The sequence below is a fragment of the Homo sapiens genome, chromosome 18 (genome assembly GCF_000001405.40).
Source record: "Homo sapiens chromosome 18, GRCh38.p14 Primary Assembly".
Lineage (NCBI taxonomy): Eukaryota > Metazoa > Chordata > Mammalia > Primates > Hominidae > Homo > Homo sapiens.
Genome location: NC_000018.10, coordinates 71,431,851 through 71,457,360, shown reverse-complemented (window position 1 = coordinate 71,457,360; position 25,510 = coordinate 71,431,851). Strand labels below are relative to the sequence as shown.

The window sequence follows — 25,510 nt, the reverse complement described above, 5'->3', positions numbered from 1 at the left end:
TGAAAACATTTCAACTGCAGTGTCACAAAAATTCCTTTCTAAGTACCATAAAAGAACAGTGCATGACACTTCCACCTTCAAAAATTATCTTGGAAAATTTTTTTCACACCACTTGATCTCTATATTCAGGCAAATATAGTAATAGTCAAAGCCTACATTTTCCAACCCAGAAAAGAAGTCAAGACTTTTTGCTTAGAAGGTGAAAGAATGGATCAGCGATTGCTGGTGTCAATTCCATGTGGATCACCACAAGTTTTAATGCAAAGTTCAGGAGGATGATATCATTTTAAATCTGAAATACACTGTTATCCATGTGCCATGCAAGGGCTGTCAGTCACTAACTTTGTGGTTTTATGCTACGGGAAACTGTCCCTATATACAAGGGACAGACGTGATGACTGTGAAGCAAATCTGAAATTGACTTGATGTTTTTGAAGATGACCAAAATCCACTTCTATTTTTGAATTTCCAGTCATACCACAGATTTTTTTCAATGTTTTGATTAGGGCTTAAGGAAGCTTACACTAAACATTGCCTAGCTTCTTGCCCAGATGGTTGTTAATAATTGCCCAAAATAGGTATCCTCATGAAATGATCTAGTTGGAAGAGGAATTCATTACATGGAATAATAATAATAGCATTAATTTGGGTGTATTTAGTTCTCACATTGCCTCACTGCATGCACACAGTAAACATTTTGTAGTTATTATTGTGATGACTATCAAAGAAAGAAAATTTTTAAAAAATTAATAAGGATTGTGAGACTAAGTTTGTCTCATGTAAAGTAACAGCCGATTTGAGTTCAATACTTTGAAGTCCAAAGACTGTAGTACTAATCACCACTGTATGGTGCCTTCTCTAATCAAATATTTTATTTAGGACATGAAAGAAAATGGCTTAGCATAAAAAAGAATGAGATCATGTCCTGTGCAGCAACATAGATGCAGCTGGATGTCATCATCCTAAGCGAATTAACACAGGAAGAGAAAACCAAATACCACATGTTCTCATTTTTAAGTGGGGGCTAAATATTGGGTACTCATGGACACAAAGATAAGAACAGTAGACACTGGAGACAAATAGAGGGGGGAGGTTGGGAGGGGGGCGAGGGTTGGAAAACTGTCAGGTACTATGCTCACTACCTGGATCACAGGATCATTTGTACACCAAACCCCAGCGACACACAATTTATCCATGCAACAAACCTGCACATGTACGCCCTGAACCTAAAATAAAAGTTGAAAGGAAAAGAATAGACTTAGAACTTTGAATGTATAAGAGATAACATGTAAATAAAGGCAACCCCAGAAACACAGTGTCTTCACTTCTAGTATGATGAGCCTTACATTACAGTTTTGAGTATATTTTGTCAAGGTATCACTCACTGAAAAAAAAATTGAGAAGTGCAAAATTTGACCTATGTCAAATCACAGGTATTTTTACAGAAAGAACATTTATCATCCAAGAGGACTCCTCTTCCAAGATAAATATTTTTTTAAAGAGATTACTGCTTTCCTCTGAGAAAACTGAGCTGTAAACATGGATTGTCATTTGGAAAAATTATAGACCAGTTAAAATCTGACAATCTTCATTTATTAAGCTTTGGCACTCACAAACTATTGTAATTTCCCAAACATTTGCATTACATATGTCCAAGGGAAGAAGTAGATTGTTAAAGTTTTTGAATTGTAGCAATCTGTGGGGTCATTACTCTCATTGCCAAATGTATTCTTCTGATTAATTTTGGGTTTTACACACCATTTGGTGCATTTATTTCACCAGAATATAAGTATGGACTTCCATATTAAACTGAAATTGTCAGCTTTAAAATTAAAGCTTCAATACAACCTATCTAAAATCTTCTAACAGACGGGTAGTTGATTCAGATCAGCATTCCAGTCAGTCACTTGTACTATATGTAGAAAAATAAATAGTAACAAACACACAGCCACAAATACACACCAACATATAGACCTTTTCCTTCCGAACTATCAAAGAAATGGTCATTTTTTATAAAGTTACTTACAGGCATTTACAGTCTTGTAAACAAAATTTTATTTTGCATTAATAGTTATTATTTACTTTGATAAAAATCCATGAATGCCACCTTTGTGTAAAACACTTTGCAGCAATACTAGAAGACATACAAGTAAGTAATCTTGGTCTTGACCTTGAGATATTTACAGTGACATGAATGTGTAAGACAAATAACCTAAAAGACAATGCAAAGTTTACAAAAAGTTAATTAAAATAAAAAGTAATATTTTATATGGATTATGGGAAATTATTAATAGATAATACTTTGATAAGCCCTGAAAGATAATAAAAATGTAACAGTATAAAAGACACGTTTAAATTAAACTTATAGAGAGCCTCTTTGGTATTAAAACACTATTAAATTGATTATTCCTTCTGATTTTCCATATAATAGAAAACACTTTTGTGGTGAATGAATGTTATCCTATATTTGATTGATCTGAAAGCACATACACCCATGAAACACACACACACACATATTCACATGCACACATATGTGCACACACATATACGCACATACACACACACATCCTTGGCGGTCTTTATGTAGCCTCTCCTAACTTAGGTATTCAGCATCATCCACTCTATATCAGAGAAGAAGGTTTTTAAAATGCTGAGTAAGAAAAAATTATTATATTTTATGATAATACATTATCACTTGATAAACATAAGGGACACCATATAGTAAGCATACAATTATAACAGATTGCCAGAACAGTGAGCAAATAGAATTTAAACTATATATGTATCTAAGCTAATATTTATGGCTTTATGAATAACTAATAGAAACTTTTGATAAATTAAGAAGTAGACTCACTTCAGGAAGATAATTTGTAAATGTAATAAAGCTTTTTGAAAATGTCCTAAACTTATTTCTACTATCTTAATATATACAGTAATGAAAATGTAATAACAGCCAAATAATTTGATAATAAACATATTATTCAGTCTATTATCTCTCTTTGTTTAGCTATAAAGCACACTCAAGCCTAACCTTACAAACTATTTAGGATAGGTAATTTCCCTATTTAACAAATATACAAGAGTCTCCAAGAATTATTCTTATGCCTCTATATATCCTTGATTTAGTTAAATGAAAAATTAATAATTACTCCCAAAGCTTGTATTAATCATAACTTCATTGCCAGGATGATGTAGTTATTTGAAATATAACTGATTCTGACATTGAAATAATGCAGTCTTACAGAAACAATGTAAAATGCATCCAGCTTATAAAAATTATACAGTAACCCTTCAGTAGTATCATGGGAGAAGTATTTCCAGGAATACCCCAAAATAAGGATATAAAAATCTGCATATACTTAAGTGTTATGTAAAATAGCATAATATTTGAACATAACCTACATACATCCTCTCATATACTTTAAATCATCTCTAGATTACTTATAATACCTAATACAATATAAATAATGTATAAATAGTTGTGATACTATATCGGTTTAATTTGTTTTTTTAATTGTTGTATTGTTTTTAATTATTTTTTGAATATTTGTTACCCATGGTTGGTTGAACATATGGATGCAAATGAAGGGCCAAGAGATAAGGAAGGCTAACTGTACATTTCTTACTTTATGGTAAGAAAAATTATTATTATAATTTATCTTCATCAGTCCTCAACAAAGAATTGTTTAAAAAATATTTACTGGTTACATCACACTGAAAATCTCCTTCTCAACACTAAAAATATCTATTATGTTTAAGTAAAAGAAAGCTAATATTTAAAAAATAACATGGAGTAACATCAACTAATTATTGATTCTATTTTAAAATAAAAAATTTATAAAATAAACATTTAAAACATGTGCATTAAAATGATCACACCATAAATACTTACTTAAATTTGAGTCATTTTCTCTATTTTGACAAGGGGTAGACTTCAAATTAAGTGTAAAGATTAATACATGATAGAACCTGCAAACTAAACCAGGGCCTATGGTACTTCAGTTTCTGATAATTCTAGAAATGTAATTTACTGGAAATTTTCCATTCATATAAAAGTAATGCATATATCATTTGGCAACTGTATGTAGAATAAAATAAAATTTGTTTTACTATAGCTTATAAAGTTTGACAGACTAGTAAATTGATCTGGCCATTATTTCTCTCTGATTGTGGACACAGACTCAGAATCCATCTTAAAGTGCATCTCCAGGCAGTTATTACTAATCTATCAATGTTGACATATGAAATGGAAATTTTCCACACTGGGTGTTTGTCCCTTTATGAAAATACTAAATAGCACATGTCCCACCAGGAAGAGTATGGCCATTCTCACCGGAGCCTTCTTCATTTATTTTCTCTTTCAGCCCCCTGCGTATGTGTTCTCTGGTTTAGAATTTGGTGGGGATGTCTACGTGGAGATATTGACTTGACATTTATTAAAAAAGAAGAAAAGACTGCAAAGGAAAACTAACAAAATTCACACATCCTGACTGTGTACGAATAATATGATGAGACACCCAAATGCATTCAGCAGCCTTTCTGTGAAATAATATGCCAATCTTTAAGGAAAAAAAGTTTCTGGCTTTCCACAGGAGACATAAAGCATGAATATATTTTTATGTATTTTTTTAATTGACAAATAACATTGTATGATTTTGTTGTGTACAACATGGCATCCTGAAGTATATATACAACGACTAAATCTAGCTAATTAACAAAGGCATTACCTCTCATAGTTATCATTGTTGTGCTGAGAGTATATAACACTCATTCTTTTTATATTTTTAAAGAATATTATATATTGTCATTATCTATAGTCACCTTGCTGTACAGAGATCTGAAATGTATTACTTCTGTCTAACTGTACCTATGTATTCCATGACCAATATCTCCCTATCTCATTTCCTCTAAAAACCCCAGCCTCTGGGAACCATCATTTTCCTCTCTACTTCAATGAAATGAACTTTTTTTCAATTTCATGTATCAGTGAAAGATCATGTGGTATTTGTATTTCTTTGCTTGTCTTATTTTCCGTAACATAATGTCTTCCAGGTTCATCTATGTGTTTACAAATGGTAGAATTGCATTTTCTTTCAGGCTGAATAATATGCCATTGTGTATATATTATATATTTTCTTTATCCGTCACCCACTGATGGACCTTTAGGTTAATTCCATATCTCAGCTACTGTGAATAGTATTACAATAAACATGAGAAAGCAGTTATTTGGGGCATCCGATTTCATGTCCTTTGCAAATATACCCAATAGCGGGATTGCAGAACCATAGAGTACTTTCTATTTTTCATGTTTTTAGAAAGAGAGTTGTTCATAATGACTGTACTAATTTTCATTCCCATCAACTGTGTATAACTGTTCCCTTTTCTCCATATTGTTGTCAATATATATCTTTTGTCTTTTAATAATAGCTATTTGAACTGGGATGAGGTAGTATTTCATTGTCGTTTTTGATTTGTGAAGTTGAGTATTTTTTACTTATCTGTTGGCCATTTGTACATTTTCTTTTAAGAAATGTCTATTCAGGTCTTTTGCCTATTTTTTAATTAGGTTATTATTATCATTATTATTATTTTTGCAAAAGCTAGTGGTATCACACTATCTGACTTCAAAATAGACAACAAATTATAGTAACAAAAATAGCATGGTATTGGCATAAAAACAGCTACATAGACCAATGTAACAAGACAGAGAGCCCAGAATAAACTGCATTTACAGCCAATTGTTTTTTGACAAAAATACGAAGAATGCACACTGGGAAAAGGAGAGTTTCTTTAATAAAATTTTTGAGAAAACTAGATATCTACATGCAGAAGAATTAAATTAAACCTTATCTCTTTGCCTATAAAAGTCAACTAGAAGTGGAGTAAGAAATTAAATGTAAGACCTGAAACTATGATAGCACTAGAAGAAACACAAGGACAATGCTTCATGCAGTTGGTCTGGGCAAGAATTTTTTGAATATGTCATCACAAACCTAGGCAGCAAAAACAAAAATAGACTAATGGGGTGACAGCAAACTAAAAATCTTCCACACAGCAAAAGAAACAATCAACAAAGTGAAAACAGAATTACATAATAGAAGAAAATATTTGAAACTATACATCTCACAAGGAGTTAATATCCCAATATATAAGGGAGTCAAAGCACAGACTTAAAATCTTAGTGTAAACTATCTATTTAACTTTTTTAAAAAATTAGACTTCATTAAATTAACTTCATTGTTATCTATTTTATTAGTTTTTAAGAATATGTCTTTCTTATTATTTTGGAAAGATTTTTTCTTAAGGGCAATTTAGAAGTTTTTTCTCATATAATTCTGATAAATTGACTGTAAAACATTTGTTACATGAAAGCAAGCAGAGTCTAAAAAAAAAGTCAGATGGTAAGTAAAATTTTCATGAAAATGAAAGGCACCTCCAAAGCACCATTTGCATACATCAGTGTGCTAATGCTACTTTCCCAATATCACCTGCAGCTTCTTACATCTCTAATGGAAATTGAATGAATTCACAGATTATTAGCTTGTAGGAGCCTTAGTAGAGAATAAAATCTTAGCAGGTTTAGCATATTCTGTGGCAGCAGTACACAATACTAAAGTAGCTAAAGAGTCTTGGCTTGTCTGCTTAAGTGCATATATCTTATTTTAATATTTTTAGTGCCATTTTCCAAATTAAATATTGAAGTGGTCTTGTTTTCACTGAATAGAATAAGAAATGGCCCCTTTGCATTAGGACTGGGAAAGAAAACATTTCTACTTAAAAAGCATTAGCGATGCAATGTGGTGCGTTTTTGAGTTGCATTTTATCAATTTATTTGACTTGAAATACAGCGATATATAAATGTTAGTAGTCACTAAGCACATGGCAGGCAGGTGCAGCATGCTTTGCCAGTGGAGAGCTGACATTTTTATGAGATTGCTCAGCTGGAATGGCAAAGGAGCATTGGAGAAGTAAGAGAGAAACAGCTGTCACCCACTCATTTTATTTTCAATTGTAGTATCTTGGAGGGAAAGAAATTACATTAAAATGAAATATCTATCATGATTGAGATAGAGGCATTATATCCATGCTGTTTGAATCCATTACCTTTACATTGAAAGAATTTTAAATGCATAATAATATGTCTTATCAGGATATATTCAGAGAAATATGTGTTTATTGAGCTGAAATGCATTATATATTATGTATGGTAACCACAATCTAAAATTACATGTTTTTTTTTCTTTGTGATAATGTGAATACCTTAATTGAGCCTCATTCTCTTTTCCAGTACCTCTTTTGACAAATGCTAGGCATGGTTAAGAGAACAATGTAAGATTCTAGAATAAAGAAATGCAAAGAAAAATACATGTTACCCAAACTGATAATCTTGTCATTTGAAATAAGCAACTGAGCTAGTGGATCAATCAAGTACACCAAGAAAACAAACCAATATAGAGAAACTCTGATAAAGAGACTACAATGGGGGGGTTGGTTACAAAAAGGACAAACTACTAAGGAGGACAGAGTATTCGGCAGTCTTCCAGAAGGACAAATGCATTAGGATTTGAAAAATATAATTATATTGCAAAAGTGAAAAGAAAATCATTCCTAATAAAATATATTTGAGAAGCATTATGAAAAGGTATAAATTAATTACATATAGGTGGGAAACGGAAGAAAACCTCTTTTGTAAAACCAAGTGAAAATGATTGCCAATGATGTTTATAAAGAGATTTGAAGGCTGGGTGCAGTGGCTCACACTTGTAATCCCAGGACTTTGGGAGGCTGAGGCGGGCAGATCACCTGACATCAGGATTTTGAGACCAGCTTGACCAACATGGAGAAACCCCGGATCTACTAAAAATACAAAATTAGCTGGGCATGGTGAGACATGCCTGTAATCCCAGCTACTCAGGAGGTTGAGGCAGGAGAATCACTTGAACACTGGAGGCAGAGATGGCAGTGAGCCGAGATCACACCATTGCACTCCAGCCTGGGCAACAAGAGTGAAACTTCATCTCAAAAGAACAACAACAAAAATAAATTAAAAAATAAAGAGATTTGAAATCATAGACTGGAGATGATTAAGTGGGTCACAATGTTATCTTTGTTTCTGCAGCTTACCTCTAACCTTACCCCCACAACCAAGACAAATCCAAGATTATGAAACTTTGGTTGGCGAAGACTTTGTGATTTTATTGACAGCATAATGTAGGACAAGTGGCTTTCAGAAAAATGACATCAGAGAAAGAATGGATGTACCACTTTTACATTAAAATAATTCTACCAAATTAGAAATGCATGTATTATGATATTATAGAAGAAAGTAGTTAATACCCAGAAATAGGGGATTTCTTGAGCTCCTCTCTTCCATCTATTTTGAGTTACATCTTATACCTCCTCCTTTCTGTAGAGGGATTGGACTTGAGATTTAAAAGAAAAAATTATTGATTCACTGAAGATTCTTGTTCTCAAGTCAAAAAAGGAGCCTCAACAAAAGCAAAATAAAAGGAACCATGGAAAGAGAAGAGGAGAGGAAATCTTCAGAAAAAAGCAGCAGCCTCCAGAAGCACCATTTGAAAGATTTTGGTAGAAAGGCTGTAAAGGAGAGACACAGCTAACCTGGACATATGATGATTTACATCTCACTCACAAACCTGGAGCTGTCAGCCAAGTTCTGATGAAACAATCTCTTGGGGGATGATTATGTACATCTTTGCAAAAAAATGGAAAACTCTTTTCCCACATCTCATCACCATAAATAAGAGAGAAATAGTTATTGTGAATTACACCTCAATGAAGAGATGTAGGCCTAGACAGCAACAGGCTACGTGACTGAAAAAAAAAAAGTAATTGATGTTAATCAGTCTGACTTCTATGTTTTCCAAGGTTATTTAGAGATCAATTTTTGAAAAAGAAAAGCATTTAATGAACTAATTTACTCAGTAATAATAAAATGCAGGCATAAAAGGTAATGCAAATATCTGTTGAATAACTAATATAAGCCAGGCCTTATTATAGGTGGGGATATAGCAGTAAATAAAATAGACAAAGTCCTGTCCATATGTTGATTATATACCAGTGGAGATGTGCTACATATAACAAATTGGAATAACATGAATAAGGAGGAAGAAAAGCAAGAGGAAGAAAAATGGTGCAAACTGCAAAGCTACCTGAGAGAAACGACAATAAGCTGTCAAACGGATATCTTACAAGTTGAGCATGTGTTGCTTTGACAAATTTGCTTCCATGGTAGTATCACCCAATAAAAATGAACTTCTTAGAGATAAAAAATTAAACAAATTCATTATTTTAAAAGTGAAATTAAATTTATTAATTCACAATAAAAGGACAACCTATTATCATATATTCTCTCTCCAGGCAAAGGTTAAAGTAGCATTTTTAAAGAAATATTTATTTTTAAGTTACAGAGTACACATGCAGGATGTGCAGGTTTGTTACATAGGTAAACGTGTGCATTGGTGATTTGATGCACCTATAAACCCATCATCTAGGTATTAAGCCCAACATGCATTAGCTATTTTTCCTAATGTTCTCCCTCCCCCGACCCTACCCCACACCAGGCCCCAGTGTGTGTTGTTCCCCTCTCTCCGTCCATGTGTTCTCATTGTTCAATTCCCACTTATAAGTGAGAACATGCAGTGTTTGGTTTTCTGTTCCTGCTTCAGTTTGCTGAGGATAATGGCTTCCAGCTCCATCCATGCTACAAAGGACATGATCTCATTTTTTATGGTTGCATAGTATTCCATGGTGTATATGTACCACATTTTCTTTAACCAGTCTATCACTGATGGGCATTTGGTTTATTCCAAGTCTTTCCTATGGTGAATAGTGCTGCAATTAACATCTGCATGCATATATCTTTGTAATAGAATGATTTATATTCCTTTGGGTATATACTCAGTAATGGGATTACTGGGTCAAATGGTATTTGTGGCTCTAGATCTTTGAGGAATTGCCACACCATCTTCCACAATGATTAAATTAATTTACATTCCCACCAACAGTGTAAAAGCATTCCTATTTCTCCACAACCTTGCCAGCATCTGTTGTTTCTTGACTTCTTAATAATAGCCATTCTGACCGGCATGAGATGGTATCTTATTGTGGTTTTGATTTGCATTTCTCTAATGATCAGTGATATTGAGCTTTTTTTCATATGTTTGTTGGCCGCATAAATGTTTTGAGAAGTGTCTGTTCATGTTCTTTGTCCACATTTTAATGTTTTGTTTTGTTTTGTTTTTTGTAAATTTGCTTAAGTTCCCTGTATTAGACCTTTGTCAGATGGATAGATTGCAAAAAATTTCTCCCATTCTGTAGGTTGTCTGTTTACTCTGATGATAGTTTCTCTCTCTCTTTTTTTTTTCTTTTTTTTTTTGAGACAGAGTCTCACTCTGTTGCCCAGGCTGGAGTGCAGTGACATGATCTCAGCTCACTGCAAGCTCTGCCTCCCGGATTCACACCATTCTCCTGCCTCAGCCTCCCAAGTAGCTGGGACTACAGGCACCCGCCACCATGCCCGGCTAATTTTTTGTGTGTTTAGTAGAGACAGAGTTTCACCATATTAACCAGGATGGTCTCGATCTCCTGACCTTGTGATCTGCCCACCTCGGCCTCCCAAAGTGCTGAGATTAGTTTATTTTGCTGTGTAGAAGTTTTTTAGTTTAATTAGATCCCATTGGTCAATTTTTGCTTTTATCCCAACTGCTTTTGGTGATTTTATCATGAAATCTTTGCCTGTGGCTATGTCCTGAATGGTATTGCCTAGGTTTTTCTTCTTATAGTTTTGGGTTTTACATTTAAGTCTTTAATCCATCTAGAGTTCGTTTTTGTACAAGGTGTAAGGAATGGGCCCAGTTTCAATTTTCTGCATATGGCTAGGCAATTTTCCAAACACCATTTACTAAATAGGAAATCATTTCCCCATTGCTTGTTTTTGTGAGTTTTGTTGAAGATCAGATGGTTGTAGATAAACAGTTAAAGTAGCCATTTTTCACTAATCACTGTCTGTATTCAAAGGCTTATACTACTTGTGGATTGTATGAGAATTTTCCAACACACTATTTTTTCCACCCCAGCTTTTAACTTATTGTTATCATACATTTTGCTTTTATATACATTATAAACACATACATTAAAATATGATTTTTGTTTAAGCAGTCAATTACCTTTTAAAGAAATTTGAACAAGAAAAATATTTATATTTATTCCCACATTTTATCTTTTTTTTATATTTTTCACTGCTGTGGTAGATACATATTTTATCTGCAATGATTTTCTTTCTGCCTAAAGGGCATTCTCTGGCACTTCTTTTAGAGTGGCTTGTTGGTGATTAATTCTTTCAGTGTGTATAAATATGTTATTATTTCATTATCATTTTCAAAATACATTTTTATTGAGTATAACATTCTAAGCATTTTCTTAGTACTTTAAAGATACTACTTCACTACCTCTTTGTCATTTTGATACCAAAATATAAGTGAACAAACAAACAAGGAAAACTGACAACTTTATATTTTTGTTTCTCTAGTTGTTCTTTTCCTATGTCTGCTTTTAAGCGTATCTTTATCAGTTGGCACCAATTTGATTAAGACTTGCTTTGGTATAATTTTCTTCCTTTTTCATGTGCTTGGGGCTCACTGAGTGTTTGTTATGCAACTTTATAGTTTTATCAAAGTTGAAAAATTTCAGCCATTCTTTCTCCAATTTTTTTTTACATCACCCTTTTTCTGAGAACGCAATTTAATGTGTATTAGCCTGCTTGAAGTTATCCTGATATTCACTGAGGCTCTGTTCATTTTTCGCACTCTTTTTACTCGGTGTTTAATTTTAAAGTTTCTATTGCTATGTTTCCAAGCTTATTAATCTTTTCTTTTTGTACATCTAACATGACATCAATTATATTCATTATATTTTTTTATTTTACCCATTGTAGTTTTTTCTCTACTACCCACTGTAGTTTAATGTATGATTAAATATCATACATTTTGAATATTACTTTATTGAGTGATACCCATGTTATGTTCCTATAAACACACTTGAACTTAATTAGCGTGGAATTAATTAGAAACTGAATGATATTGGGCCAGGCGTGATGGATCAGGCCTGTAATCCCAGTACCTTGGGAGGCTGAGGCGGGAGGATCTTTTGAGCTCAGGAGGTCAAGAACAGCCTGGACAAACAACAAATACAAAAATTAGCCTGGTGTGGTGGCATGTCCCAGTAGTCACAGCTATTCAGGTGGCTGAGGCAGGAGTATCTCTCAACCCTGGGAGGCAGAGGCTGCTGTAAGCTGATATCACACCACTGCACCCCAGCTTGGGTGAAAGAATGAGAGAGACCCTGGCTCAGGAAAAAAAAAAAAAAAAAAGGTAAAGAAAAGATACTTGTATTAGTTCATTCTCATGCTGCTACAAAGACATACCTGAGACTGAGTAATTTATAAAAGAAAGGTTTAATTGACTCACAGATCTGCAGGGCTGGGGATGCCTCAGGAAACTTAAAATCATTGCAGAAGGGGAAGCAAACACGTCCTTCTTCACATGGCAGCAGGAGAGAGAAATGAATGCCAGGCAAATGGGAAAGCCCCTTATAAAACCATCAGATCTGAAGAGAACTCACTCACTATCATGAGAACAGCATGGCAGAAACCACCTCCATGATTCAATTACCTCCCACAGGGTCCCTCCCACAACACATGGGGATTATGGGAACTACAATTCAAAATGAGATTTGAGTGGGGACAGAAAGCCTAACCATATCAAAACTGTATGATATTTCTAGGTCTTGCTTTCGAGATTTGTTCAATGGGATCCCAGTACTTGTCAATAGAGGGCTAATTATTCTCCATTACTGAGGGAAAAACCCTTCTGTGTATTCTATCAAATTATCCAAGTATTTTAAGTCTTACTCTTCAGATACTCTGATGAGGCAATGTTTCCTGCCTCAGGTTTTCTGTGATGAATGTCAGGTCTCACACTTCAGAGTGGCTCTTTCTCCAGCACCCTGCAGTATACTCACATGTATTAATCAGCGTAATAGCTAAGGGAAGCTCTCTGCTGACATCCAGAATTCTTTCCTTGTGGTTTTCTCTTATACATCACCTATGCTGTGAACTCTAAGATACTTTGTCCTCCTTAGATTCTCAGCTTACATCTCCTGAACTTGCAGAAGCTGAAGGCTCTGCTTGTGTTTTCTCTCTGCTGTAGGCAGAATAATGATGCTCTCTAGAGATGCCCATGTCCTAATCTATAAAGCCTGTGAATACATTACAATACACAGCAAATGAGAATTACGTTTGTAGATGGAAATAAGGTTCCTGAAAACTGACTTTATGAGGGTGACATCATCTGGATTTTCTGGGTGGAAGTCTTGTAATTTCGAAAGTCTTTATAAAAGAACAAAGGCAGAAAAGAAGGTCAGAGTGATGCAGTGTGGGAATGACTGGACCCACAGTTGTGGTTTTTGAAGATAAAAGGAGCACAAGCCAAGGAATGTGAGAAGGCTGCAGAAGCTGGGAAAGGCAGGGAAACAAACTTTCTAGAGGGACCTCCAGAAAGGAATGCAGATTTGCTGACACCTTGATTATAGCTCTAAGGGCCAGACTGAACTTTTAAAACACTGAAATGTAAGATAATAAATTTAAGTTCTTTAAGCCATTTATTTTGTGGGAATGATTGCGGCAGCCAAAGAAAACTAATACACCCTCTTTGCCCTCAAACTGGGAAACTCTCAAAGCAGTAACTGTGGCAATTCTAGGACTTGCCTTTTTTATTGTCTGCTTCTAGGGGTCACTGCATCCAGTGTGTTGCATACCATTGTTTTATATATTTTATACTTTTTTGTTTTAGATTGTTTCAAGCAGAGGGGTAAATCTAGTTTCTGTTACTCCACTTTGGCTAGAAGCATAATTGAACAATATATGTTTTCATGATAAAAAATATTAGTGACATCAGAACTGTTTTCTTTCCAGTAGAACAATTAATTTATGAGCTTAATCAAGTTACTTAACGTCATTTTCTTTTACTCTTCTAAATGATGTTGACTGCAATATTTTAGGTAATTTTAGGTGAATAGCCTGAATTTAGAATAAATATCTGTTCCATAATTATTGTTCTGTCATTAATTCTTGTAAGAGTTCTTGAAGATGAGAAAATGTGCTGCGTATTCCAATGCCAGCAGATGTCAACTGAGAGAGGTGAGGAAAAAAGTGGTGGCTGTCTCCCAGGAGAACTGCCATAACGCAATTATCCAAATTTATTTGCTGGGAGTCACAGTCTGGCCTTATCCCAGAGAGCTGAGAAACTTGATTGAGTCAGCAGCCGCACTATAGCCCTGTTTCTTCAGGAGAGAGTCACATTAGCCAAGACTCAAGATTGATGTCTAAATTAAAAATGCCTTTCAATCTGTTACAAAGATAAATAGACCTAACAATAAAGCAGTCATCCTATTTGCCCAGCACATTCTCTCTCTAACATCTACATATGTAGGCAAATTATCAGAGTCCTCTTTAACGACTTTAAACATAAAATGGGCCAGTGGGAGGAGTAGGCTGCAATCCAAATATTTACAGGCATTAAGTTATAACATCCAAATGCATCTGACTCCAAGAAAGATGAATTGATCTCTGCAACCAGAAAGATCAAGTCTTTATCCCTATTTTCTTCCACAGTACTACCAATGTTGGCTCTGTGAATTCTATCTTTGTAATGATTTCTTTTTTAGAAAAATTTCTCTTTGCATTTTTTATTAGATAAGTTAGTGTTTTCTATTAAATTTTGGCTAAATTTCCTAGGCTTACAACATATTATATCCCTTTGAGGACACTTTGAATGCTTTTATTTAGATCTACTCTATGCTTCTGTTAGACTAAATCTCTAACTGACTTTTTATTTTATTTCCATTATTTTGGGACTTGATATGGGTTATACTGTGGCCTTTTTGTGTTGACAATAGTCACAATGGTGAAGGGTGACAGCAATCAAGTTTAACAATCAAAATGAATACCAACACAACATACATTTCCCAGTTTTATAATAACCAAACACTTCAGTAGAAATAGCCATGACCATAGTCATATGACCTGAACTGTGTCCAGTTTTGTCATGCTTCTTTATCCTCATTGTCCTACCACTGTGGCTTTCTATGTTTTTGTCTTAAATTTCTCCACAGAACTATTGCACATGCTGATGCTTTGTTTCTGAAATTCTCATCCATTTCACCACCTTACACTCTCAGGAACATTTGTGAAAAGCAAAAACAAATTTGAGGTAACAGGAACATTTACCACTAAAATATGTGTCTTTTCCTTCCTATCAGCACTGCACAAAAGCTTGCCCATTTTCCCATTATTACTCAGACTATTCCAAAAATACCCAAACCCCATAAATTCATGGAGGTTGATCTTGTTAATTTAACTGATAGTTCTAATGTTTATAAATTCTCTGGCTCCTGATCAGCGCTGATCCTAATCAACTTCTGAGCAGCCTCAGACAGTGCAGGATATTCTCTATTAAAAATGTATTTTGGCCAGGCATGGTGGCTCATGCCTGTAATCCCAGCACTTTGGGAGGCTGAGATGGGTGGATTACTTGAGGTCAGGAGTTCGAGACCAGCCTGGCCAACCTGGAGGAACCCCAACTAAAAAATACAAAAATTAGCCGGGCATGGTGGTGTGCACCTGTAGTCCCAGCTATTCAGGAGGCTGAGACAGGATAATTGCTTGAACCAAGGAGGCCGAGGCTGCAGTGAGCCAAGATCACGCCCCTACACTCCAGCGTGGGCAACAGAGCGAGACTTTGTCTCAAAAATAAAATAAATAAACAAATAAAAATGTCTCTTTTCCTTGCTTCTCTAACTTTGCAAATCTTTGCTTTGTTGTGAATACGTGGAAGCATTTTTGTTCTTTTTAAATATCACATAATCATACGGTTCTGAATTCCTGCTATACTATGATCATTAGCCCATACAAAGTCCCTCAGATGTTGTGCTTTATTTATTTTTCTCCTTATCTCTAATTCCATTGGCTGGCTGCCATCATGGTTGTCAGTTATTTTAATGCATTTAGCACATATCCTTTGAATGTTTGTATATTGGAATTTCTTAATTTTTGTGCAAGTTCAATATAACATTTAGAGGTATAATTGTTATCTCGTTTCTTCTTTTAATTGAACCTCCTTTTGAAAAGTCATAATATTTCTCTGTGAACATCTAGTTTCTTGCTTCCTCAGAATGTGTCTGCCTCACTGTTTTATTCATTTTTCCAGTGGTGGACAAGTAAGTTACTAGCAACTCTTTGCCTTCCAAAACTATTCTTATGCTCATCCTAATAATACATATTTTGAATCTGTGGAAGAGTTCTTCATGGATCAACACACCAGATGGGATTTAATAGGTGGGACAGTATGTGCAGATTTAATTTAACTATGTTCCTCAAAATTGTCCTACAAAATATCAGTGCTACTTTATTCTTTTACTAGCAGTGCATAAGATACCTATTTTTGCACATGCTTATCAATATTCAGTTTTATCCATCTTTCAAATTTTTGTCATTCTAATGACCATATTTTATTTTAAGCTAATTACAACAAACAGTATAGCTCCTCATCTGTGAGTTTTTATTTGCACTTTTACCCCATTTTTTAAAATCTCCTAGGTAATAGGTAATAAGATTCTTATTAGCTTTAGACATTATAAAAAACCTCCCATCTGGAAATTTATCCAATGCACCTTCATTTTAACAAAAAATATTACTATTAAAGAAGAAATAGATACAAAATATTTGCTCGATCTTAGTAGGTTTTAAGGTATTTTCTACCACAAAGCCACAGAAATAAGCTTCTACAGAGTTTAAAATTTTATTCATCTTTCAGAATTCAGTCTACCTGGAATCTATACAGCGTAGTATACATTTCCAGCTTGATCTCCAAATTTTGTCTCATTTTTAACACCAACTACCAGCAAGCTGCTTGTTCTCTATCGTCTTGTGGTGCCATTTCTGTCATATATTTAATTTCCAGATCTGCTTCTGTATCAGTGCAAAATATTTTAGTTATTATACTATAGTAAGTGATTATATGTCTCCAATTTTAATCTTTATTTTCAAAACAGCACTGACCATTTGGTATTATTTACTTTCCAAATCAATTTTTAAATTGTTTTATTGAATATTTCAAAATACTCTGCCAAAAATATTTTAAATGCCTTACATTCAGACATTAATTTAAAAGAAAGTAACAGCATTAAATTTAAAAATTAAATTTAAAACATAAAATTTTCCCATTCATGACCAAGCCATGTTTATTTATTTATAATTTCATTTATACCGTTTAGGGAGATTTTTAAAATGTTTGCATGCAGTTATTTCACATTACATGATTTTAAAAAAATTTTATATAATTTAAAACTTACAGAAAATTTTCAAGAATAGTTCAAGTTATCTCTTTATATTTTTAGCTAGTTCTGGATCTCTTTTTTTCTCAGATCTTGAGTAGATAACTGAGCTCATTAGTTTTTTGTTCAGGAGTATTTTTCAGGCATGTCTGGGTGGGATAAATTTTCTGTGATTTTGCTTGAAAATATATTATTTCATTCTGACATTTCTAGATATAATTTGGCTAGGCATGAATATCTGGCTTCAAAATTCTTTCTTACTTACTAGAAATACTACTTTACTGTCTTCTTAATGCCAGACTCAGAACTAAGAAATTGGGGTTATGTGATTCTTTCTACTCTGTGAATATATCTTTCTATTGCTAGTTTTCTCTTTTTTTTCAATTTGTTGTTGTCTATTTTTTTTTTTTTTTTACAGAGCCCTGTGCTTTTTGCTTCTGAAGTCTCTATTTGTCTAATTATGGCAATTATTATTTCTTCAAATGTTACCTCCATACAATTTTCTTTAAATTCAAGAAATCCTGTTTTTAGATGCTAATGGCTAATGTTCACAATTCCAGCCTTTATCACTCTTAACATTTTTCTTTTATAATTTCACTTATTTCTCTCTGATGACATGTGAGATACATTCACAAACACAGTCTCCGGCTCTATATTTTCTGTTACGACATCAATTTAATTATTTAACAAATACATACTATTTGTATTTGGCTTTTTAAAAAAATATAAATATTTGTATTCACTTCTTGTTAACATACCCTACATTGTGTCACAGGTAATAAAGGCTTATTTCAAAATATTAACGAATTCATATTTTATTTTAATCTAGTATATGTTATTGATTTTTATAGAATATTTGATTTACTGTCTACTTTTTAAATACTAGAATGCGTTGCTAAGATATTCATATTTTAGTGGGTTTGTTTGTTTTTTGTATATGTGATCGTAGTTTTTCCTTTCAGGAGTCAGCCATGTTACTTATTTACATATTCACGAGGGTGGTGACAGGGAATGGGGAGATGGGGAAGGACAAATCTCAATGCCTCACTTTGTCAATCTTTACGAATTAAAGGCATAGCACTGGTGTTTCAGGCAGTGGCCCTTATGGTGCCACAGCCTGAATTTGATGGTTCTTGATTTCAGTCAAAGGGAATACCGGAACTAGAAAAAGCTCTCCTTCCTTCTTGCGTTGTCCTAGGCACTGACCTTTCGTGTCCTTTACTTTCCTTGCTGGCTCTACATTTCCTTGCTGGCTCTATATTTCCTTGCTGGCTCAATCTCCTGGCCTGTCAGGAGACAGGAGGAAGCTGTGAAGGGCCTCTGCCTCCCTTCATTGCTACTATGTCTGTTGCAGGCACTGGGGCCCTCACGGGTATGCACTCTGCTCTTTTCTCTTCTCATTGGTGATTGAACAAAGTTCCAACTAGTTACTGTGGAGGAGAAGAAATAGAAACACTACCTGAGCAAGTACTCTCCTCAAAGCCCTCCACACCCAGAGTAAGGACCCTTCTCTACCCCAAGCTGCCTTCTTCCCTCAGGGCCTACTCACCCTTACCTCCCCAGGGTTTCCACATTTGCTCTCTCAGGTCCTGTCCTTCCCTCTCCCTGAGAGAGGGAGGTAGAAGTGTCTGCTCTTTGCCTTTTTCCCAGAAAGGAGAAGCTCTTGGGTTTATCTCTTGAACCCATACCTTCTGCTTATCCACCATTCCGTTCACCCCAATCAGCCCTTAGGTCTCACCATCTGTGCCACAATTAGCCTTCTGCCACCCTCCAGTCCATTCTCCATACTTGAGCCAGAGTGATTGCTTTAAAAAAATATAAATAAACAAAAGCAAAATCTGATGATATTAACCATCTATTCAAAAGCCGTCTATTATGTCAATGTAATTACATCATTTTTAACCTGTCTGATGAAGCGTATGACCTGGCCCCACTGGCCTCTGGAGCTGGAAAATGCTTCCCTCTCCCTATCACCTCTTCGGCTCCCACAAAGATTCTCTTCAATTTCTTTAAATGTCCATTTCTTTATCATAAATCAGTGTCTTCATGTGTTCTGTCTCTTCAGTATCATCTCTCTTGAATTTTAATTTAAATCCAATCTGACCCACACTAAATCAGGTTCCTCTGGCTTTCTTTGGCAATGCTTCCAAAAACTTTTCACAGTTTTAAATTTTGGATTTGCTTGCAAGATTTTAACATTTCATTTCTGTCATCCACCTACATTTGCATGTAGTGATCAGGGAATGTGTCTATTTTCACTCATCATTTTGTGTCTAGTACTTAGCATATTATCTGCACGTAGTAAACACTCCAGACATATGTTTAAATGATGGAATACAGAGTAAATTGAAACTGTGTGTGTCCTCAAATAACCCTACTTTCAATGAACCGATGATAGTATTTTCTCCATATATGCTCTGAAGTATAGAATTTGGGGTATGCTTTTCAATTGAGTTGATATTTCAATTTACCTTTTCTCTTCATAGTCTGCCACTTACAATTTTGGCCATATTTTAAAAGGCATCCTTCATTCTTCCTAAGATGTAGAAAATTTAAACTTGATTTCACATGGAACAATTATGTTACTTTTTGTTTGTAGAAAATGCATTTTCCCTTACTGATACACGTATTTTCTAACTGCCTATGTCTATTTATGCTGCTGTAGCAGAAATACCATAGACTGGGTAAATTTATAAAAAAAAACATAAATCTATTTATCTCAGTTCTGGAGACTGTCAAGTCCAAAATCAAGAGCATGGCAGGTTCAGTTGCTGGGTAAGGACCTCTTCTCTGCTTCCAAGGTGCCACGTTTAACAATGCATCCTCCCCTGGCAGAAGGAGCACTGGGTCCTCACATGACAGGTGGCAGAAAGGCAAACTAGTCTAACATTGTATAAAGCCTCTTTCATAGAGACCTCCATTCCATTCACAAGGGAAGGAGCTCTCTTAGCCTAGTCACCTCTTAAACGCCCCGCCTCTTAATACAATTACATTGGCAACACCTGAATTTTGGAGCAGTCACAGTCAAAGCACAGCTAACAATGGTGAAAGCTTGGTAATGACATAACAATTTTACTATGAAACTATTTATTGTTTCTGTAAATTACGTGTTTTCTCCACGCAGAGAGGTTGATATAATGATAATCTGTCACGCTGGCAACATAGAGAAAGATTAAGTATATTTTTGTCTATAGTTAGCATAGACAGAAGCCATCTCAGGAGCTCAGTTAACTGCTTCTATCGAAGGCGAAAATGTCTGTGTTTGTTGCTCACAGTATTTCCATTACTACTGTGTCCTGTGAGCTTTTCACTTAAATCTTTTCAATTCTTCTAACCTATATCAAGTACCTTCCCCTAAGAGCCTTTCCTGAGTAACCCATTCTTGTGCTATCTCTCCATTTGACGGAGGCAGTGCATACTGTCAGTGCTAGTTATATAATGCATAACAGATACTAAATTGTTTCTTTTTCTTTTTTTGAACATGCCTTATCCTGCAAACTTCACTTTAAGATATTTAAGCTTAAAGACAAACGATTTCCTTTATCTAATACACATAGTCTAATCTTGAACAAGCTAGATAACATAGCATACAGTAGCAAGAATAAGCTCTGTGCATCTGGCAAACCTGGACATAAGTTCCATCTCTACCCCTTTAGGTGTGTGAGACTGGATAAATTATTTAACCACTCTGACATAGTTTCTTTATCTATATACATTACTAGGTAGGAGGTTAATAGAAGATAAAACATGTAAACCATTGTCATATCATTAATGATCAATATATTATACTGCCTTCTTTTCCATAATTGGAAGCATGATAAGGAACACCGGTTAAAAGCTCTTAAAATGTAGAAAATGTAGATTTTGCCCAAATAGCATAACCAGACATTTTCAGGCCCTTGAATGCTATTTCAAAATGACATCTTTCTCACAGAAATCAATAGTTGGGAATAAGTCATATGAGGTTTTACTGCATGTTCTAGTGATGAAAAGAAAACATAACATTCATAAAGCTAAAAAAAAATAAGTATGCTGGATTTCTCCCACTATGGGGTATATATCCAGAGGAGAGGAATTCATGGCCAGGCGCAGTGGCTCACACCTGTAATCCGAGCACTTTGGGAGGCCAAGGCAGGCAGATCACTTGATGTCAGGAGTTTGAGACCAGCTTGGCCAACATGGTAAAACCCCGCCTCTACCAAAAACACAAAAATTCATCAGGTGTGGTGGTGCACTCCTGTAATCCCAGCTACTTGGGAGGTTGAGGTGGGAGAATCTTTTGAGCTCGGGAGGTGGGGGCTGCATTGAGCCAAGATAGGGCCATTGCACTCCAGCCTGGGCAACAGAGCGAGACTCCACCAAAAAAAAAAAAAAAAAAAAAAAAAAAAAAAAAAAAAAGGAGAGGAATTCTGTATATTGAAGAGATATCTGCAGCCCCATGTTTATTGCAGCAGTATTCACAATAGCCAAGATACAGAATCAATCAAACTATCCATCAACAGATGAATGGATAAAGAAAATGTGGTATGTACACAGTGTTAAATACTATTCTCTCATAAATAATGAAATCCTGTCATTTGGGGAAACATAAATGAGCCAGAAAACATTACGTTAAGTGAATTAAGTCAAGCACAGAAAAATAAATGCTGTATGTTCCCGCTTATATGGTGGAACAGAAAATGTTGAGCTCATGGAAGTAGAGAGTAGAATTGTGGTTATTATAAACTGGAAAGAGGGGCACAAGAATATGGAGAGGTTAGGTAATGGATACAAAGTTACAGCTAGCTATGAAGAATAAATTCCAGTCTCCTATAGAACTATGGTGAATACAGTTAACAATTTATTGTAAATTTTCTTTCTTCAATTTTATTTTTTGTGGGTACACAGGAAGTGCATATATTTATGCGGTATGTGAGATGGTTTGATACAGACATGCAATGAGAAATAATCACATCATGGAGAATGGGGTATTCACCCTCCCCAGCATTTATATATTTTGTGTTACAAACAATCTAATTATACTCTCTTAATTACTTTTAAATGTACGGTTAAATTATTATTGACTATAGTAGCCCTGTTGTGCTAGCAAATACTAGGCCTTATTCATTCACTCTAACTACTTTTGTACCCATAACCATCCCCACCCATCCTCTACTTCCCTCCACCCACCTCCACCACTATCATGCCCAGCCTCTGGTAACCATTCTTCTACTCTCAATCTCCATGAGTTCAATTGTTTTGGTTTTTAGATCCCACAAATTAGTAAGAACCTGTGATATTTGTCTTTCTGTGTCTGGCTTATTTCACTTAATATAATGACCTCCAGTTCATCCATGTTGTTGCAAATGACTGAATCTCATTCTTTTTATGGTGAGTAGCACTCCATTGTGTATAGGTACCACATTTTTTTAATCCATTCATCTGCTGATGGAAACTTAGGTTGCTTCCAAATTCTGGCTATTGTGAACAGAGCTGCAACAAACATGTGAGTGCATGTATCTCTTCAATATACTGATTTCCTTTGAGTGTATACCCAGCTGTGAGATTGCTGGATCATATATTAGCTCAATATTTAGTTTTTTGAGGAACTTCCAAACTGTTCTCCACAGTGGTTGTCGTAGGTTCCATATCATCAGCATTTGTTATTGTCTATCTTTTGGATAAAAGCCATTTAAACCAAGGTGAGATGATATGTCATTGTAATCTTGATTTGCATTTCTCTGATGATCAAGGATGTTTAGCACATTTTCATTTGCCTGTTTGCCATTTGTATGTCTTCTTTTGAGATTCTATGTCTATTAAAATCTTTTGTCCAATTTTTAATTGCATGGTTCAGTTTTTTTTCTATAGTATCGTTTGAGCTCCTTATATATTCTGATTATCAATCCCTTCTCAGATGGGTAGTTTGTAAATATTATTTCCCATTTTGTGGATTGTCTCTTCACTTTGTTGTTTCCTTTGCTGTACAGAAGCTTTTAAACTGTATTTTACATTTTCAAATAGCTGGAAGAGAGTATTCTAAATGCTCCCAACACAGAGAAATGATAAATGTTTCAGGTGATGAATATGCTAATTATCTCGATTTTATCATTACACATTGTATACGTGTATGGAAATAAAACCCTGAGCACCACAAATATGTAAAAAAAAATTAACAATATGTTGTAAAAGTAGCATTTTTCATTACATAATTTTGTGCAATTTACTTTTTTCTTTAGAGCATTTAATTGTCTGCAAAGAAAAGAAATAAGTCTTAGCCTTTTGGATTTTCAACGTAACCTTTTCTGCTTGAGAATCTCTTGAAAGACACAGCCTCTTCTGCAGCAGGTGTAGTTTTAATGATGCTTTGATGCCATATGTCAAATCTCATCACTTGCTGTGAGGAGTGACATTTCTCTTGAAAGCCCCTAGCAATGGCAATGCACCTTGTTGGTGGGTATCTCACAACACAAAGAACTCCTAAAGCCAACATATTTCTTTTCAGCATTCTGCAAGATTGCACAGAGGCCATACCATTGCCACTACATTGCCCATCAGAAAGATAGTTTATATATTCACAGAACACGGCTTGGAAACTTTTTTTAAATTCATGATAATTGCCTTAAAGCTGGTCACTGTGTTCACTGACTTTTGGGATAATCATTTTACATATTTTTGTAAATTATTGTGTGTGTATGAGATACTCAAACATATAAATATCAAAGCACATTTTAGAAATTTAAGATTTCCTAATTAAACCTTGTTTTGGATACCAGAATATACATTTTCCACATTTTTATTTGTAAATTCCTTGGAAATCACAGGCAATTAAAGTTATAATAGTTTAAAATTCCATGCAGTCAAAGCTTTATCTTTTATGGATGAGAGTTTGTCCAAACTAGGCTGGGACCAGAAATCTAGGGAAGATTTTTATGAATCAGAGTACCCAAGTCCCCAGGCAAGTATATTACTTCAAAATCCCCTCAGGAAGTTTTCTCAGAATGGTGAATGCCACATGATTAAGTTTTTCTATTTCTATTTTCTATTCACAGAGTGAAGTTGCTTGGGGTTAAAAATTCTCCACATAAAATGGGCTGTTTTTTCACCTCTGACGTGGTCATTAAAAAAATCTACAATCTTCCTGGGCCCTCAGTTGTTAGCTGAAATATTACTAAAGAAGGTTATAGTAAGTGCCTCATTTATGACAATTTAATACAATTTATTCAGTGTCCCATGTCTAAATATCTATGACAAGGTAATATGTCATTATTCAGTAGACAATATAAGTATTTCTTACATTTCATTATGAAGACATTGTAACAAAATATTAAGGAAGTATATAGTGAATACTGATTTACACAACTAATTTCTACAATTAGCACTTTATTCTCCTTTGTTTATTGCATATGTATCTATCAAATTCTCTATTCATGCAATAATCCCTTATTTTTGAAGTATTCACATTTTACCTCTACGCACTTTATCACACATTTTACAAACTACAGTTTAATATTTTTTATGCTCAACTGACAATTTACAAAATTGGAGTTCCTTGAAAAGGCTGAATCTTACCAGTGTTGTATATTAACTTTGACACATAGATCCTAAAGAAAATAATAGCAAATCATATGCAACAAAATTTTAAAAGCATACTCATATTTACTGAAGATACGTTATTTCAGATAGGTAAGGAGAAGATAATCATAGGAAAACAAATGAAGATGGTGGTTATCATTTGATTAGTTTCACGGTAATAGAGATGGTTAAACATTTCTATGCACTTTTGAAAATACAGTGAGATTAAATTAAATTTTACTGTACCTCACAATCATTAGTTGTGGCATATTTTTCTTTCCCTCGGCCTCATAAGATCAGAGAAAAGAAAGAATCTTTGTCATTGTATCACCACTCTTTGACACAGAGGTATGATGCCCTCCCCCTTTCTCCAGCATTCCAGAGGAAAATATACAAACTTGATGACAATGAGCATTTGGGAAAATAAAAGCTGACAAAGAGCATTTTAACCTCTCCCAACCTTCAGCCTCATCCATGAGTCAAAAATAGACCAAAATCTCAGGAAATACTTTCCATTAAAAATATTTTTTAATAAGGCTGTGTA

At 34.6% G+C, this 25,510-nt stretch overlaps 1 long non-coding RNA gene across 1 annotated transcript in view; it reads right to left on the bottom strand.

Moving 5' to 3' along the window:
- The window catches only part of LOC107985179 (uncharacterized), a 191,915-nt gene extending 166,639 nt beyond the window's left edge, over window positions 1-25,276 (bottom strand). The window contains exon 1 of the long non-coding RNA XR_001753502.1: window positions 25,213-25,276. This is a non-coding gene — a long non-coding RNA (uncharacterized LOC107985179). The remainder of the gene's footprint in view (window positions 1-25,212) is intronic.
- Window positions 25,277-25,510: the final 234 nt, after the last annotated feature.